The sequence below is a fragment of the Homo sapiens genome, chromosome 10, assembly GCF_000001405.40.
Source record: "Homo sapiens chromosome 10, GRCh38.p14 Primary Assembly".
Classification (NCBI taxonomy): Eukaryota; Metazoa; Chordata; class Mammalia; order Primates; family Hominidae; genus Homo; species Homo sapiens.
The window spans coordinates 62,661,378-62,678,652 of NC_000010.11; the positions used below are offsets into that span (position 1 = coordinate 62,661,378).

A 17,275-nucleotide genomic window follows, 5' to 3' on the forward strand; every position below is an offset into this window, starting at 1 on the left:
AGTTCAGCCCAGGTTTGCTGGGGCAGGTAGAGACTTGAATAATACTGAAGTGTCTTAAGTTGGTTTTCACCATAAGACAAATGGATCTAGCTCCTGCCTTGGAAAACAGCATAGCCTTGTGGGGAGGGAAAGGGTAAGAGTGAGAAGCTCGCCAATTCTAGGTTTTCCTCCTGCTTTAACAGTGACTTTGCCCAATTACCATAAACACATTTCTTTGAGGTGGCCACGTGACCAGAGACACCATATCCTGGGGACTCAGGGAAGAGGGATGAATCCACAAGGGTTCAATCAGAGAAGCAGGGCCACTCTGAGTGATACAGAACTAGGGATTTGTTATTAAGATGAGCACGATTGTGAGAGCTGGTGAAGGGGGTGATGGCAAACTTCTTCTGCACCTGGTGGGGGCCTAAAGCTGTTGTAGCTGGGCAGCTCTAGTAATCAGGAAAGAAGGCTGGATCTAATGTAAGGAGAGCAACATTAACTGGAAGCGTGAGAAAAACTAGAACTGTCACCAGTGGAGGGTGTCCAGGGTCTTGGCATCTTGAACGAAGAAAATGGACAAAATGCACAAACAAAGCAAGGAAAGAACGAAGCAACAAAAGCAATTTATTGAAAATGAAAGCACACTCACAAGGCGGGAGCCAGCCTGAGCAAGCAGCTCAAGAGCCTGGTTACAGATTTTTCTGGCCTTCAAATACCCTCTAGAGTTTTCTCATTGATTACCAGGTGTACACCCTATGTAAATGAAGTAGTGGCCTGCAACCAGTCTGATTTGTTGTAGAAAGTGACCAATCAGAGGCTGAAGTGAAGTTACAAAGTTACGCCCTATACAAATGAAGACTTGGCCCATGACCAGTCTGACTGGTTGCAGGAGGGGACTGATCAGAGCTATTTTCAATTTTTCACCTGCCACGCAGAAGGGCAGTTGGGGGCAGTGCAAAGGGAGTAGCCTCTGGTCCTTTTGTTACTTGGGCATGGAAAGCTGGGGTTTTCCTTTTGATTTAGTTCTAGGAAGTCGGCATGAATTGGCCTTCCATTCCCTGCCTTCAGACCCTATTCTCCTGCCTCAGAACAATGAGGGCAGAGTGGACCCCACGTATGCCTCTTATTGCCTCCAATTTTGACAATGTGGGCAACGTGCAGAAGCCAACACCTTCTCCATGAGACTGCACACACAGTAAGTTTGCAACTCAAGAATCTGAAGGAGGAGATTGGGTAGGAGCTGAAGGAGCTGCAGGCCCAGGCACTGCTCCATGGCAAGAGGATGAACCATTAGGTCAGCATGAGCTATGGGGCCTGCCTGACACCTACACCAATCCACAAAGAGTGGCTACCGCTTCCTTCCCTTCTGCCTTCCCAGTCTCATGCAAATTTCTCTTGTGGTCAGTCCTAGTCTACAACCACACAGGGAAGACAGTTCTGGGAAATATTTCCAACTTAGCTAAGTTGACACAGTACCAAGCCCCTTCAAGGGGAGACCTCTAGAGACAAATAATTACGTTAACTAAATATTTTATGGTATTGGTGGAGTGGAAAGAGAATTTCTATTCAAACCTATAGTGCGATCCTGGCCAGATCCTTTGACAAAAACAAACAAACAAACAAACAAAAACACTTGAGCCGGCCATGGTGGCACATGCTTGTAGTCCCAGCTACTCAGAAGGCTCAGGTGAGAAAATCACTTGAGCCTGGGAGTTCAAGGCTCTAATGAGCCATGATTGCACCACTGCACTCCAGCCTGGGTGACAGAGCAAGTCCCTGTCTCAAAAACAAAACAAAACACTTGAAATTCAAGTATGAAGTGGAGGAGAGCCAAAAATCAACTAATAAATTATTAGTGAGTGCTGATTATATGCAAAGCCAAGTCGTAGGCATCACTGTGAAGATACAGACAGCAGCAGGATAGGATTCCTGCCCTCACTGGAAGGAAGATAAGGTAGAAAAGTGCTACATATGCATTACACACTTAATACTCAACACTCCCGGGGGCTCCTGCAGGATACTTCCAAAGGCTGCCTGCTGATTGGTTGACAAAACAGACTTGAGCATTCTCAGACTCAGGTTCAAATTCAGCCTTGCCCCCCACTAGATTTATTTGCTTAGTCACTCTGAACTTCCATTTCCTGGTTCATAAAGTATAGTTAGTAATAATACTAATATAAGTTGGTTATAAAGGTGAAAAGAGATTTTGCATGTGAAGCACTGGCACACAGCAGGTATTCAATAAGTTGTAGATATTTTAATGTTGGTGATCATCATCCCTGTTCCTTTTTAGACCCAAAGCCTACCTGAGTAGATGCATGACTTTAGTGCCAGGGACCTATGAGCTTGCAAAATACATATATGTGTCCAATCTCTTAACGATCCGCAGTTTGGATAAGCTGATGTGTTTCCCATATTCATATATTCATTCGGTAAATAGTAAGGGCCTAATACTATGCAAGATACATGTGTTCAAACCATGTTCTAACAGCACAGCAATATAAGTCAGGGAGCTAAAAGCCTCAAATGGCTAACGCAAACAACATTCTTAGGAGCCGAAGATCAGTTCAGCAAATATGTCCTGGAACTTGAAAGAAAAGGAAGAGGGGTTGAAAGAAAAGATGCCTCACTGTCACTTATAGTGGTCAAGGAAGATTTCAGAGAGCAAGTGGCATTGGGGTTCAGCTTGGAAGAATAGGCAAGATTCACACCAGGAAGGAGGAGGGCAGCATTTCTGGGGCAGTAGAGGCTGGAAAGCCCATGATGTAGTCACAGGGGAGCGGGGAGAGCAGAGTGGGCTTGTCAGGTAGTAAGTAGGTTAAGAAGCAGACTGTGCAGGGCTTTGAATGCCAGGGTCATGAGTTCAGACTTTGTATGGTGGACAGCAGAGTCACTGAAGGTTTTCATAGAGAGAAGGGGCACAATGGAAGCCAAGTTTTAGGAAAACGAAGGTGGCAGAAGTCTATCGTCTGTATAGGATTGAGGAGAGACTGTAGGCAGGAAGGCTGACTGGACATCCTGTCACAGAAACTCAGAACTAGAAAGAGGTCCAGTAATGAGACACTGAGAGTGCAGGGAGGACTGCAGGGACTCGTGGGAAGGGAGAAAGCAATGTTCTTGATGCCTGCTTGCACCTAAGGAGTGACTAGAGGTATGAGAGATGATCCGGAATTCCATGACTGGGCAGCATGAACAGAAATAGGGAAGCCAGGGCTGGGGTGTGGAAAGAGAAAAGAGGCTGTGTTCCACATGGAGAGTCACTGAGGAGCCCTGAAGGCACAGGCAAGAGATGAGGGCAGAGGAAAGATCGGGGGTAACCTCCAGAGAAGGGCAGACTGAACTCGGAAAATGCCTGAATATAGGGAGGGACAGGAGGTACCAGAGAAAGAACAGAGGCCTGGCCTCCAGGGAAACCTAACGAAACCTTCCAATTGCTGATGGAAGACAGTGAAGACCTCCAATCCTTATAGTTCTTCCTGATCCACTGGTGCTTGTTTCTACAAGGGAAACATCACATTGCAGACCTGCTCAATGGCTAAAGAAAAGAGAAAACTCAGACCATTCCCAAAGAGAGAGAGTATTCCCTCAGAAAGAGTTGAGCTATTGCCCACATCATGGTCATGATGCTGCATGCGTCAGAGTCCCTCAAGAACCAGATGGTGCATTCAAAGTGTTGAAGAGTGATGATGCAGAGGCCGTTTGCAGAGTCAGGCACCAAGGACCAGCCACATTCATACACTGTCATCCTCCTCATCCTGAAGGGGAGCAGAGGGAATGGAGTTACTTGAAGCCTAGAGAGGGCCAAAGGGGTAGAACCAGATGCCCAATTGGAGTGGTGGCTATAGGAGAACATAGCTACTGCCCAGAAGAGCAAGACGAATAAATACCCCAATGTTTCTCTCCTCCCACCTCCCTATTTCCTATAAGCACTTCTCATTAGCCAAATGACCCAGAAGCCACAAGACAAGGAAGTCTAGCCAATGCAATCTGTAGTGCTCAGTCTCCCGAGGCACAGAGCAGGTCAGAAAGGTGCGGAGAATGGATCTTGGAGAGAAAATGGAGAATAATGAGAACATTGGCTCGTTTTCTTCCTTAGTTCAAAGTTCTACTTTGAGCAGAAGTAGACATGATTAATTTTTATTATAAATGATACACATTTGCATGATGTTTTATGATTTCTAAAGTATTTCATATAGATTCTCCTTTTTGAGCTACACAGTATCCCTATGAGGTAGAAAACACCATGTTATTTATGTCCATTAAACTCTGAAGTCCAGAGACATTAAATGACTTATTCAAAGTCACACAGTGAGTGAATTGTGAAGTCTGTGTTAGAAATAATGCCCTTTAATTCTTAACCCACTGCTCTTTCCCAGGTGTAAAATTAATCTACCTGGGAAGGTGCCCCTGCTATAAAAGACAATAGAACACAGCTGTCCAGAATGTGGCATGTCTTGTGGCCCTGGCCCAGTTGGGTGCATAGAGCTGTCCTGAGTTGTTTTCAATAAGCAAATATTCCTGACACTTCAATTATCCCAACCCAAACAATGAATACATTGTGCAAGAGGCTTCATAAATTTCATTCAGTTGGATGCAATGAGAATAATACAAGTCAAAGCTTTGTGTGTATTCCCTCGAAAAAAAAAAGAAAGAAAGAAAGAAAAAAGAAACCACCCAACAAAACAGAAATTGTTGTAAGGAAAACATCTAGGCTTCAAAAAAGAGGCAACACAGGCTCTGTGTTCATCTCTATCCCTGTATCTCTGCAGAGAAAGTGTCTCTACAAGTCAAAGCAGGAATATCAGCCTTCTTACACTAGGACAACTCCAAAATTGTGTGATTGGTAAGAATTTTTTTTAACTTTCCTATATTTGATGTCTTGTCCTCCTCATGTACACCCTCCTTGTCCACTTCCTCTACCCTACTGTCATGGGCTGAATTGCATCCCCCTCCCCACCGGCAAAAGATATTACTGAAATTCTAACTCCCAGTACCTCAGAATGTGGCCATCTTTGGAAATAGGGATGTTAAAAAAGTAATCAAGTTAATCTGAGGGTGTTACAATAGGCCCTAAGCCAATATGACTCGTATACTGTGAAAAGAGGAAGTTTGGACACAGAGACAGACACATAGAGGGAAGACATGCATGGAGACATGGAGAACACACCCATCAACCAGCCAAGGAATGCCTGAGGCTACCAGGAGCTCAGGGAGCCCTGGAACAGATCCTTCCCTGGAGCTTTCAGAGGGAGCATGCTCCTGTGGACACCTTGATCTTGGACTTCTGCTCTCCAAAACAGTGAGACAATAAACTTCTGTTGTTCTAAGCCACCCAATTTGTGGTACTTTGTTTACAGCAGCCCCTAGGAAATTAATACACCCACTAGATGTATGCACATTTATATCAAAGATATAGCCAGGAAAATTGTAGTTATTTTATTGGCAAAACTCAAGGTTTCATACAAAAATGTCCAGAGAAAGTGCTGGAAAAGGTTTATATAGATTATACATTGATCCTCTTTTCTAACTCTGTAGAATAGGAGTGGATTAAGTTTTGTGACAATATCTGACGCATTGCTACCAGAATTAATTATGACGCATTTGGTTCCAAGTAATAGTATATCCGTATTAAGATGGTTTAAACAATGAAAGCAACATCTTGGCTCCCACACCTGAAAGTGTAGATCTACTCTGGGCTTTAAGCATGATTTTATTAAGGCTCTAGATTCATTTCTCTGTAATTCTCTTTGCCTTGCCTCTTTTGTGTGTTGATTCCATCCTCAGGCTGGCTTCCCCCATGGTATCAAAATCACTGCAGTGGTTCCAGCATGCGTGTCTGAATCCAACACTTCCTGGAGAAAGAATGCTTTTATGCCCTAGATTCTTCAGCAACAGTCCCAGATGTGGTGCGGATTATTCCATTCCTAACCAATCCTAGGGGAAAGCCAAGTACTGATTGGCTATGCTTCACCTGTGTGGTCCAATCACTGTGGCAAGATGCTTGAATTTCCCTAATGGCTTGGACCATTCAGGACCTCCTGCTGGAGGTAGGGATGAGTGACCAGATATGCAGGATACCCCTGAATGGAAGATGATCACAATGAACATTGAGGAAGCACCACAATGCCCAGTTCAGAGCTAAACCCTCTGCATATTGCAAAGTCTAATCTTGTCAAGATCTGATTGTTAGAACATTAGCTTGAGCTAGACCCACCTGCTTAAATGTGGAATCTAGAATATGAAGATTTCATTTACTATCTGAGGAGGGCCTATAAGTTGAGGAGGTGAGATTATATTTATTTTATTTATCAAGCACTGTTCCAGTTACTATGGCTACATAAGAAGTTATCTCAAAATGTGGCATCTTAAAATAACAATCATTATTATCTCTCGAGGTTTCTGTGGATCAGGAATTCAGGTTGAGGGTAGTTGGGCAGATGTAGCTCAGGTTCTCTCTGGTGGTTGCAGTCATTAGGTGGCTAGTCATTAGTCATTAGTGGCTAGGGTCATATCAAAGGCATCATCACTAGATGTATACACATTTATACTCAAGGTGGCACTTCGCTGGGGAATTCAACAGCTGAGGCTTCTTGGACTTCTCTATTCCTACGTTGTCTCTTCATGTGATCTCTGCAGCATGGTGGCTTCAGGATAGAGATCCTCTCTCTCTCTCTCTCTGTGTGTGTGTGTGTGTGTTTTGTATCTATCTCTATCTCTATCTCTCTACACACACACACACACACACAGAGAGAGAGAGAGAGAGAGAGACAAAAGCAGGCCGGTCCTTATCACCTTCCATGACCTAGCTGTAGAAACCAGCAGCTTCACTTCTGCAACAAAGTGTGCATCAGGGAAGTCACAAAATCCCTCTGGGTCCAAGGGGAGAGGAAACAGACTCCACCCAGAATACAGAGTGGCAAGGTTCTAGCAGAGCATGTGGGACCAGAAAATTACTGTGTCCCCATATGAAAAATACAATCTGCCACACACACTTATAACATTTATATACGATAGACTGTTCCAAGTGTGTTACAACAACAAACTCATTTAATGGAATAGGGTACTAGACTTCCTTTTATAGATGGGAGATGCTGTGTGTGCCCCACCCACATCTTTTTGGCCCTCATCATTTCAGCACCTACCAGCTCATCTTCCAAATGCAAGATCTTGGCCCGAGAGCTTCCACTGGCCTCTGGAGCCTGGTGTGTTCTTGCACGCAGCAGGCCAGATGTTTTGGGGAATAGATTTCCTCTAGGAGCAGCTATCAACAAATAATTGGCAGGAGTTGATATATAAATGCCCTGGCTCCCTCGCCCTGTGGTGGCAGGATGGGATTTGATTCTGAGGCATGTGCTCTATGCTGGCTTCCACAGTCCCCCATGCAGTAAGCTTCAATGGTCCACGGTGGCAGCTTTCTTGACAATGCAACTCCATTGTCTGCCTTTCTTTCCCTGTCTTCTTCCTACCACCACACTAGTGTTTCCTGTCCCTCCCAAATAACCTACTCAGATTTGAACTTTTCTGGAGGAGCCCAAACCAAGACTTTTAACTTGCCCAAGATCACTCAGTTAGGAATTTGAACCCAGATTATAATTGTAGGTAGCTTTGAGAGGCACTTTCTTAGCACCTATTAAGTGACATTAGAGAAAAGGCAGTGCTGAAGAGCCCAGGAAAAGGAGGTAAAATACCTCCAGTCTAAACTTGGGATGTTCCAAAGTTACAACCACCAAACACTTATTGAGCTTATACTATGAGCCAGGCATTGGGCAACATGCTAGGCGACCTTGGCTCACTGATTCTGGGATGGATATAAAAATTCTTGGCCAAATTCTTCCTCTTAGCTGTGATGAAGAACATCATAAAACTTTTAGATGAGAAAGCCCTGCTCTAGTATAAGATTCATTTTGCTAACACTACTTCTGGGACTTCAGCTTGGGCCGCTGGGATGGGGCTAGAATGAGCGTATTAGTTGGGGCTGCCATAACCAAATACCATCGACTGAGTGGCTTAAACAACCGAGATTTATTCTCTCATGGTTCTGGAGCCTGGGAAGTTCAAGGTCAAGGTGCTGGCCAGTTCAGTTTCTGCTGAGAGCTCTCTTCTCAGCTTTCAGGAATCTGTATCTTTTCTGTGTCCTCACTTGATGGAGAGAGGTCTCCCTTCCTCTTTTTATAAGGACATGAATCACGTTGTATAAGGGCCCTACCTTATGACCTCACTTAACCTTAATTAGCTCTGTATAGGCCCTTGCTCCAAATACAGTCATATTGGGGGTTACGGCTTCAATATATGAATTTTGGGGGACACAATTCAATCCATAGCAGTCAAGTTCTAGTATAGTTTTCTGCAGGGGTTCACACCTTTTAAAGCATTTTAGTTTTATTTTATTTAGTTAGCAATCATTACCCACAGCAAGTCGAGGGTGGAAGCACTTTTGACCACAAAACATACTTTTAAAGTCTAAAGAGCATAAATATTGTGTGACTGGATGGGCCAGTGCCCTGTCTTAAGGAAGCCCTGCCAGGGCAATTCATGCTGCTCCATTCATGGGAGACTGCAGTCCCACATGTAAGTGCCTTCATTAAATCCTCTCCCACTTGTGCTCAAACTCAGGGGGTTTTTTGTTTTTTGTTTTTTATATTTTTTTCCTGAGAACATGCTGTCTCTTTCTCTCTCTGAACTTCTAGGTAATATCTGCATGATTAAAATAATCTAGATTAGAAGTGTGCTGCTTTAGCCAGATAGCTGGGTTTCACAGCAGCCAGCTGGGCCAGCCCAGTCTTGGGCTTTAAACAAGGAACTCCAGTTATTGAATCTAATCTTTCTCCCTTTTCTCTGTCTTCATAGGCAAATTGACAATCATCGATTTGTTGACTGAACACCTGTTAGGTGTAAGGCACGGTGTCATATGCTTTCCTTGGGGCTTGCCTTCAAGCAGCTAACAGAAATAAGAAGAAAACAGGTGAAAAAGACAGTGTGATAAGGCCATGGTGGTGGATTGTGGATGCCCTGCCCTGTATCCACTTGGGAGAGAGCCTCTACAACATGCTGGCAACTTCCCCCTCACTGATTCAAATGTTAATCTCCTTTGGCAACACCCTCACAGACACACCCAGGATCAATACGTTGTATCCTTTGATCCAATCAAGTTGCCACTCAGTATTAACCATGACACCTTCTAAGCCATCATCTCCTCCTAATCCTCCCATAACAATGGGTATAAGTTATGAAGGTGGGTTAGAAACTAGTGCCTATCCCTCACTAAGTTGCCAGATGGATTTAACAGCACCTCAAAGTCAACATGCCCCAAGTCAAAGTCTTCTTTACCCATGGAATAAGCTGGCTTGCTACTTCCCTACATCTCTGAAGGGCTCCACCATTCCTCTAGCAACCATGCTCTCAAAGCTCAGAGGGAGGAAAAGGAAATGGATCTAAATGGAATTCCAGGTCCCACGCTGGATATTTTCACACCTTACCTCATTTAATACAACAAGCAAGGAGGTAGACAATATTGTCTACCTTTGCAAATGAGGAAACAGAGGCTTAGAGAAGTTAAATAATTTGCCTGAGAATAAAGCTAAAAGTAGCTTTAAAATACTAGAGCTGGGATTGCAAGTTTGATGCAAAGTTTGTGCTCTCTTCATCCTTCACCAAGATCTTTCATTTTCCCTTTAAATATCTCTTATGTCTGCATTTCCCTTCCATTCCCATCACTAGCACTGTCCTCTAATGCCCCACCCAGTGGGGAAGTCTCCAATAGGTCCCCCTGCTTATAACAGCCAAGAGGGTAGCTATAAACTAGGTCCAATAACATGCTTCATGTGAGGGAACTGATGGACAGCTGTCTAATTCATAACCTCTGGCCTCAACGGAATTTACAGTTCAGAGTCCAAAATAGCAAGGAAGTGGTGGGAAGAAGGTGAGAGAAAAGGGTGGGAGGGTGAGAGAGGGGAGGGAGGGGAATAAGGTGTGGGCAGTAGAGGGAATCTGTCAGTCTCATGGTTTGCCCTAGGAAACCTTCTGCTCAGCCCCAGCCTGCTTCTGGGCACTCCTCCTCACCCCTCCTTGCTGTCCATATGGGTTCAATGTGAGTAACCACAATTGTAGAGTGTGGCCATCTTCTTCTGACATGGTCCTAAATAAACCTAACTGAGTAGCCAGAAGAATCACTTCTAAGGTAAACATCTGTAAACATTGGTTATATTTATTTTCAATATTACTGGTTAACATTGTGGAGCTATTACTGATGGGCCAGACTCTGTGCTAGGCACAGACTTTCTAGGGATTATTTCATTTAATTCTCATGGCAACCACCATGCATTTGCAGATAGGCAAGTCAGGCTCACAAAAATGTATGCAGAGCTTCAGGGTTGTGATGGGTAGAGCCAAACCCATCTGCCCAACCCAAGGGCCCGTGCGCTCCAACCCTGCATCGAACTGCCAACATAGTACACCTTTTAGAAAAAGATTCTTGTTGCAAAAGTACCATAGGCAGTGTGTGTGTAAGGTCATTGTAAAAGTGTAGATAAGCAAGAAAGTGTTATACCACCACTCAGAAGTAACCACTGTTAACATGTTGGCTTATCTGCTCTCAGGTGTTTCTGTGCCTGTACATACTATTCTTCTTGAATAAAAACAGGATTACACAGTGTATACAGTTTTGTAACTTTTGTTCATGAAGCAATATACTGTATAATGCATTTCTTTCTTTATCATGAGATAGTCTTCTATGATACAGGAGGTTTTGGAGGATTTCTTTATTCTTTTGAATGGATGCACCATAATTTATTTAACCAATTCTTTATTTTTAGACATTTTGGAATCTGGTTTTGTTTCATCCTTTTAGTTTTTCACTTTTTTTTATTATTATTATACTTTAAGTTTTAGGGTACATGTGCACAATGTGCAGGTAAGTTACATATGTATACATGTGCCATGCTGGTGTGCTGCACCCATTAACTCGTCAGTTAGCATTAGGTATATCTCCTAATGCTATCCCTCCCCCCTCCCCCCACCCCACAACAGTCCCCAGAGTGTGATGTTCCCCTTCCTGTGTCCATGTGTTCTCATTGTTCAATTCCCACCTATGAGTGAGAATATGCAGTGTTTGGCTTTTTGTTCTTGTGATAGTTTACTGAGAATGATGATTTCCAATTTCATCCATGTCCCTGCAAAGGACATGAACTCATCATTTTTTATGGCTGCATAGTATGCCATAGTGTATATGTGCCACATTTTCTTAATCCAGCCTATCATTGTTGGACATTTGGGTTGGTTCCAAGTCTCTGCTATTATGAATAGTGCCACAATAAACATACGTGTGCATGTGTCTTTATAGCAACATGATTTATAGTCCTTTGGGTATATACCCAGTAATGGGATGGCTGGGTCAAATGGTATTTCTAGTTCTAGATCCCTGAGGAATCGCCACACTGACTTCCACAATGGTTAAACTAGTTTACAGTCCCACCAACAGTGTAAAAGTGTTCCTATTTCTCCACATCCTCTCCAGCACCTGTTGTTTCCTGACTTTTTAATGATTGCCATTCTAACTGGTGTGAGATGGTATCTCATTGTGGTTTTGATTTGCATTTCTCTGATGGCCAGTGATGATGAGCATTTTTTCATGTGTTTTTTGGCTGCATAAATGTCTTCTTTTCAGAAGTGTCTGCTCATGTCCTTCGCCCACTTTTTGATGGGGTTGTTTGTTTTTTTCCTGTAAATTTGTTTGAGTTCATTGTAGATTCTGGATATTAGCCCTTTGTCAGATGAGTAGGTTGTGAAAATTTTCTCCCATTTTGTAGGTTGCCTGTTCACTCTGATGGTAGTTTCTTTTGCTGTGCAGAAGCTCTTTAATTTAATTAGATCCCATTTGTCAATTTTGGCTTTTGTTGCCATTGCTTTTAGTGTTTTAGACATGAAGTCCTTGCCCATGCCTATGTCCTGAATGGTACTGCCTAGGTTTTCTTCTAGGGTTTTTATGGTTTTAGGTCTAATGTTTAAGTCTTTAATCCATCTTGAATTAATTTTTGTATAAGGTGTAAGGAAGGGATCCAGTTTCAGCTTTCTACATATGGCTAGCCAGTTTTCCCAGCACCATTTATTAAATAGGGTATCTTTTCCCCATTGCTTGTTTTTCTCAGGTTTGTCAAAGATCAGATAGTTGTAGATATGTGGCGTTATTTCTGAGGGTTCTGTTTTCTTCCATTGATCTATATCTCTGTTTTGGTACCAGTACCATGCTGTTTTGGTTACTGTAGCCTTGTAGTATAGTTTGAAGTCAGGTAGCGTGATGCCTCCAGCTTTGTTCTTTTGGCTTAGGATTGACTTGGTGATGCGGGCTCTTTTCTGGTTCCGTATGAACTTTAAAGTAGTTTTTTCCAATTCTGTGAAGAAAGTCATTGGTAGCTTGATGGGGATGGCATTGAATCTATAAATTACCTTGGGCAGTATGGCCATTTTCACGATATTGATTCTTCCTACCCATGAGCATGGAATGTTCTTCCATTTCTTTGTATCCTCTTTTATTTCATTGAGCAGTAGTGTGTAGTTCTCCTTGAGGAGGTCCTTCACATCCCTTGTAAGTTGGATTCCTGGGTATTTTATTCTCTTTGAAGCAATTGTGAATGGGAGTTCACTCATGATTTGGCTCTCTGTTTGTCTGTTATTGGTGTATAAGAATGCTTGTGATTTTTGTACATTGATTTTGTATCCTGAGACTTTGCTGAAGTTGCTTATCAGCGTAAGGAGATTTTGGGCTGAGACAATGGGATTTTCTAGATATACAATCATGTCATCTGCAAACAAGGACAATTTGACTTCCTGTTTTCCTAATTGAATACCCTTTATTACCTTCTCCTGCCTAATTGCCCTGGCCAGAACACTATGTTGAATAGGAGTGGTGAGAGAGGGCATCCCTGTCTTGTGCCAGTTTTCAAAGGGAATGCTTCCAGTTTTTGCCCATTCAGTATGATATTGGCTGTGGGTTTGTCATAGACAGCTCTTATTATTTTGAGATACGTCCCATCAATACCTAATTTCTTGAGAGTTTTTAGCATGAAGGTTGTTGAATTCTGTCAAAGGCCTTTTCTGCATCTATTGAGATAATCATGTGGTTTTTGTTTTTGGTTCTGTTTATATGCTGGATTACATTTATTGATTTACGTATATTGAACCAGTCTTGCATCCCAGGGACGAAGCCCACTTGATCATGGTGGATAAGCTTTTTGATGTGCTGCTGGATTCGGTTTGCCAGTATTTTATTGAGGATTTTTGCATCAATATTCATCAAGGATATTGGTCGAAAATTCTCTTTTTTGGTTGTGTCTCTGCCAGGCTTTGGTATCAGGATGATGCTGGCCTCATAAAATGAGTTAGGGGGGATTCCCTCTTTTTCTATTGATTGGAATAGTTTCAGAAGGAATGGTACCAATTCCTCCTTGTACCTCTGGTAGAATTCGGCTGTGAATCCATCTGGTCCTGGACTCTTTTTGGTTGGTAAGCTATTGATTATTGACACAATTTCAGAGCCTGTTATTGGTCTATTCAGAGATTCAACTTCTTCCTGGTTTAGTCTTGGGAGGGTGTATGTGTCGAGGAATGTATCCATTTCTTCTAGATTTTCTAGTTTATTTGCGTAGAGGTGTTTGTAGTATTCTCTGATGGTAGTTTGTATTTCTGTGGGATCGGTGGTGATATCCCCTTGATCATTTTTTATTGCGTCTATTTGATTCTTCTCTCGTTTCTTCTTTATTAGTCTTGCTAGTGGTCTATCAATTTTGTTGATCCTTTCAAAAAACCAGCTCCTGGATTCATTAATTTTTTGAAGGTTTTTTTGTGTCTCTATTTCCTTCAGTTCTGCTCTGATTCTAGTTATTTCTTGCCTTCTGCTAGCTTTTGAATGTGTTTGCTCTTGCTTTTGTAGTTCTTTTAATTGTGATGTTAGTGTGTCAATTTTGGATCTTTCCTGCTTTCTCTTGTGGGCATTTAGTGCTATAAATTTCCCTCTACACACTGCTTTGAATGTGTCCCAGAGATTCTGGTATGTTGTGTCTTTTTTCTTGTTGGTTTCAAAAACCATCTTTATTTCTGCCTTCATTTTGTTATGTACCCAGTAGTCATTCAGGAGCAGGTTGTTCAGTTTCCATGTAGTTGAGTGGTTTTGAGTGAGTTTCTTAATCCTGAGTTCTAGTTTGATGGCACTGTGGTCTGAGAGACAGTTTGTTATAATTTCTGTTCTTTTACATTTGCTGAGGAGAGCTTTACTTCCAACTATGTGGTCAATTTTGGAATAGGTGTGGTGCAGTGCTGAAAAAAATGTATATTCTGTTGATTTGGGGTGGAGAGTTCTGTAGATGTCTATTAGGTCTGCTTGGTGCAGAGCTGAGTTCAATTCCTGGGTATCCTTGTTAACTTTCTGTCTCGTTGATCTGTCTAATGTTGACAGTGGGGTGTTAAATTCTCCCATTATTATTGTGTGGGAGTCTAAGTCTCTTTGTAGGTCACTCAGGACTTGCTTTATGAAACTGGGTGCTCCTGTATTGGGTGCATATATATTTAGGATAGTTAGCTCTTCTTGTTGAATTGATCCCTTTACCATTATGTAATGGCCTTCTTTGTCTCTTTTGATCTTTGTTGGTTTAAAGTCTGTTTTATCAGAGACTAAGATTGCAACCCCTGCCTTTTTTGTTTTCCATTTGCTTGGTAGATCTTCCTCCATCCTTTTATTTTGAGCCTATGTGTGTCTCTGCACATGAGATGGGTTTCCTGAATACAGCACACTGATGGGTCTTGACTCTTTATCCAATTTGCCAGTCTGTGTCTTTTAATTAGAGCATTTAGTCCATTTACATTTAAAGTTAATATTGTTATGTGTGAATTTGATCCTGTCATTTTGATGTTAGCTGGTTATTTTGCTCGTTAGTTGATGCAGTTTCTTCCTAGCCTTGATGGTCTTTACAATTTGGCATGATTTTGCAGTGGCTGGTATGGGTTGTTCCTTTCCATGTTTAGTGCTTCCTTCAGGAGCTCTTTTAAGGCAGGCCTGGTGGTGACAAAATCTCTCAGCATTTGCTTGTCTGTAAAGGATTTTATTTCTCCTTCACTTATGAAGCTTAGTTTGGCTGGACATGAAATTCTGGGTTGAAAATTCTTTTCTTTAAGAGTGTTGAATATTGGCCCTCACTCTCTTCTGGCTTGTAGAGTTTCTGCCGAGAGATCCGCTGTTAGTCTGATGGGCTTCCCTTTGTGGGTAACCCGACCTTTCTCTCTGGCTGCCCTTAACATTTTTTCCTTCATTTCAACTTTGGTGAATCTGACAATTATGTGTCTTGGAGTTGCTCTTCTCGAGGAGTATCTCTGTGGCATTCTCTGTATTTCCTGAATCTGAATGTTGGCCTGCCTTGCTAGATTGGGGAAGTTCTCTTGGATAATATCCTGCAGAGTGTTTTCCAACTTGGTTCCATTCTCCCCATCACTTTCAGGTACACCAATCAGACATAGATTTGGTCTTTTCACATAGTCCCATATTTCTTGGAGGCTTTGCTCATTTCTTTTTATTCTTTTTTCTCTAAACTTCCCTTCTCGCTTCATTTCAATCATTTCATCTTCCATCACTGATACCCTTTCTTCCAGTTGATCGCATCAGCTCCTGAGGCTTCTGCATTCTTCATGTAGTTCTCGAACCTTGGCTTTCAGCTCCATCAGCTCCTTTAAGCACTTCTCTGTATTGGTTATTCTAGTTATACATTTGTCTAAATTTTTTTCAAAGTTTTCAACTTCTTTGCCTTTGGTTTGAATTTCCTCCTGTAGCTCAGAGTAGTTTGACCGTCTGAAGCCTTCTTCTCTCAACTCGTCAAAGTCATTCTCCGTCCAGCTTTGTTCCGTTGCTGGTGAGGAACTGCATTCATTTGGAGGAGGAGAGGTGTTCGGCTTTTTAGAGTTTCCAGTTTTTCTGCTCTGTTTTTTCCCCGTCTTTGTGGTTTTATCTACTTTTGGTCTTTGATGATGGTGACATACAGATTGGTTTTTGGTGTGGATGTCCTTTCTGTTTGTTAGTTTTCCTTCTAACAGACAGGACCCTCAGCTGCAGGTCTGTTGGAGTTTGCTAGAGGTCCACTCCAGACGCTGTTTGCCTGGGTAACAGCAGCGGTGGCTGCAGAACAGCGGATTTTCATGAACCATGAATGCTGCTGTCTGATCGTTCCTCTGGAAGTTTTGTCTCAGAGGAGTACCCGGTTGTGTGAGGTGTCAGTCTGCCCCTACTGGGGGGTGCCTCCCAGTTAGGCTGCTCGGGGGTCAGGGGTCAGGGACCCACTTGAGGAGGCAGTCTGCCCGTTCTCAGATCTCCAGCTGCGTGCTGGGAGAACCACTGCTCTCTTCAAAGCTGTCAGACAGGGACATTTAAGTCTGCAGAGGTTACTGCTGTCTTTTTGTTTGTCTGTGCCCTGCCCCCAGAGGTGGAGCCTACAGAGGCAGGCAGGCCTCCTTGAGCTGTGGTGGGCTCCACCCAGTTCGAGCTTCCCAGCTGCTTTGTTTACCTAAGCAAGCCTGGGCAATGGTGGGCGCCCCTCCCCCAGCCTCGCTGCCGCCTTGCAGTTTGATCTCAGACTGCTGTGCTAGCAATCCGCGAGATTCCGTGGGCGTAGGACCCTCTGAGCCAGGTGCGGGATATAATCTCCTGGTGCACCATTTTTTAAGCCCATCAGAAAAGTGCAGTATTAGGGCGGAAGTGACCCGATTTTCCAGGTGCCGTCTGTCATCCCTTTCTTTGACTAGGAAAGGGAACTCCCTGACCCCTTGCGCCTCGTGAGTGAGGCAATGCCTCGTCCTGCTTCGGCTCACACATGGTGCGCTGCACCCACTGTCCTGCGCCCACTGTCTGGCACTCCCCAGTGAGATGAACCTGGTACCTCAGATGGAAACACAGAAATCACCCGTCTTCTGCGTCGCTCATGCTGGGAGCTGTAGACCGGAGCTGTTCCTATTTGGCCATCTTGGCTAAATCTCCAAGTATGAATTTTTATATGTTCCTTTGACTTTCCATATGTTGTGTGCTATGCAAAAATAAAGTATCTCAGATGGAAATGCAGAAATCACCCATCTTCTGCGTCACTCACGCTGGGAGCCGTAGACCAGAGCTGTTCCTGTTCGACCATCTTGGCTCCTCCCTCAGTTTTTCACTCTTGTAAATAATTCTATGGTGGAGGTCTATGTGGCTGAAGCTGTCCAGCCAAGCTCCTCACACCCTCTCAGGCCCTCCTCCAAATCCTTTGCCATGCTGCAACTGGCAGGC

General features: G+C 43.2%; 1 protein-coding gene across 3 annotated transcripts in view, besides 8 other annotated features; it reads left to right on the forward strand.

Annotated features, from left to right (window-relative positions):
- Positions 1-10,633, forward strand: part of LOC124902436 (talanin) — a 28,368-nt gene extending 17,735 nt beyond the window's left edge. For 2 of the 3 annotated variants that reach the window (XM_047426120.1, XM_047426118.1), the window contains exons 5-6: positions 4,752-4,825; positions 8,830-10,633. In XM_047426120.1, coding sequence (XP_047282076.1) covers positions 4,752-4,825; positions 8,830-8,924 — 169 coding nt within the window. In that variant the 3' untranslated portion in view covers positions 8,925-10,633. The remainder of the gene's footprint in view (positions 1-4,751; positions 4,826-8,829) is intronic. The other variant, XM_047426121.1, reaches the window with a different exon arrangement.
- Positions 9,043-9,212: an enhancer, noted in NCBI's record as "experimental_13720/13722 CRE fragment used in MPRA reporter constructs". NCBI's record gives its function as "activates a minimal promoter by MPRAs in K562 erythroleukemia cells, with activity observed for both the introgressed and non-introgressed 10:64430265 or rs729738 variant alleles {active_cell/tissue: K562}" and the evidence as "EXISTENCE:reporter gene assay evidence [ECO:0000049][PMID:34662402]".
- Positions 9,043-9,249: a biological region, named in NCBI's record as "Neanderthal introgressed variant-containing enhancers experimental_13720/13722 and experimental_13723".
- Positions 9,080-9,249: an enhancer, noted in NCBI's record as "experimental_13723 CRE fragment used in MPRA reporter constructs". NCBI's record gives its function as "activates a minimal promoter by MPRAs in K562 erythroleukemia cells, with activity observed for the introgressed 10:64430302 variant allele {active_cell/tissue: K562}" and the evidence as "EXISTENCE:reporter gene assay evidence [ECO:0000049][PMID:34662402]".
- Position 9,128: a transcriptional cis regulatory region, noted in NCBI's record as "Neanderthal adaptively introgressed variant 10:64430265 (GRCh37/hg19 assembly coordinates) or rs729738 in the experimental_13720/13722 CRE". NCBI's record gives its function as "modulates activity of the experimental_13720/13722 enhancer by MPRAs in K562 erythroleukemia cells {active_cell/tissue: K562}" and the evidence as "EXISTENCE:reporter gene assay evidence [ECO:0000049][PMID:34662402]".
- Positions 15,832-16,001: an enhancer, noted in NCBI's record as "experimental_13730 CRE fragment used in MPRA reporter constructs". NCBI's record gives its function as "activates a minimal promoter by MPRAs in K562 erythroleukemia cells, with activity observed for the non-introgressed 10:64437054 variant allele {active_cell/tissue: K562}" and the evidence as "EXISTENCE:reporter gene assay evidence [ECO:0000049][PMID:34662402]".
- Positions 15,832-16,445: a biological region, named in NCBI's record as "H3K4me1 hESC enhancer GRCh37_chr10:64437081-64437582".
- Positions 15,944-16,445: an enhancer, noted in NCBI's record as "H3K4me1 hESC enhancer chr10:64437081-64437582 (GRCh37/hg19 assembly coordinates)". NCBI's record gives its function as "activates a minimal SCP1, AML or CMV promoter by ChIP-STARR-seq in primed H9 embryonic stem cells {active_cell/tissue: H9 hESC(primed)}" and the evidence as "EXISTENCE:reporter gene assay evidence [ECO:0000049][PMID:30033119]".
- Positions 16,446-16,945: an enhancer, noted in NCBI's record as "H3K4me1 hESC enhancer chr10:64437583-64438082 (GRCh37/hg19 assembly coordinates)". NCBI's record gives its function as "activates a minimal SCP1, AML or CMV promoter by ChIP-STARR-seq in primed H9 embryonic stem cells {active_cell/tissue: H9 hESC(primed)}" and the evidence as "EXISTENCE:reporter gene assay evidence [ECO:0000049][PMID:30033119]".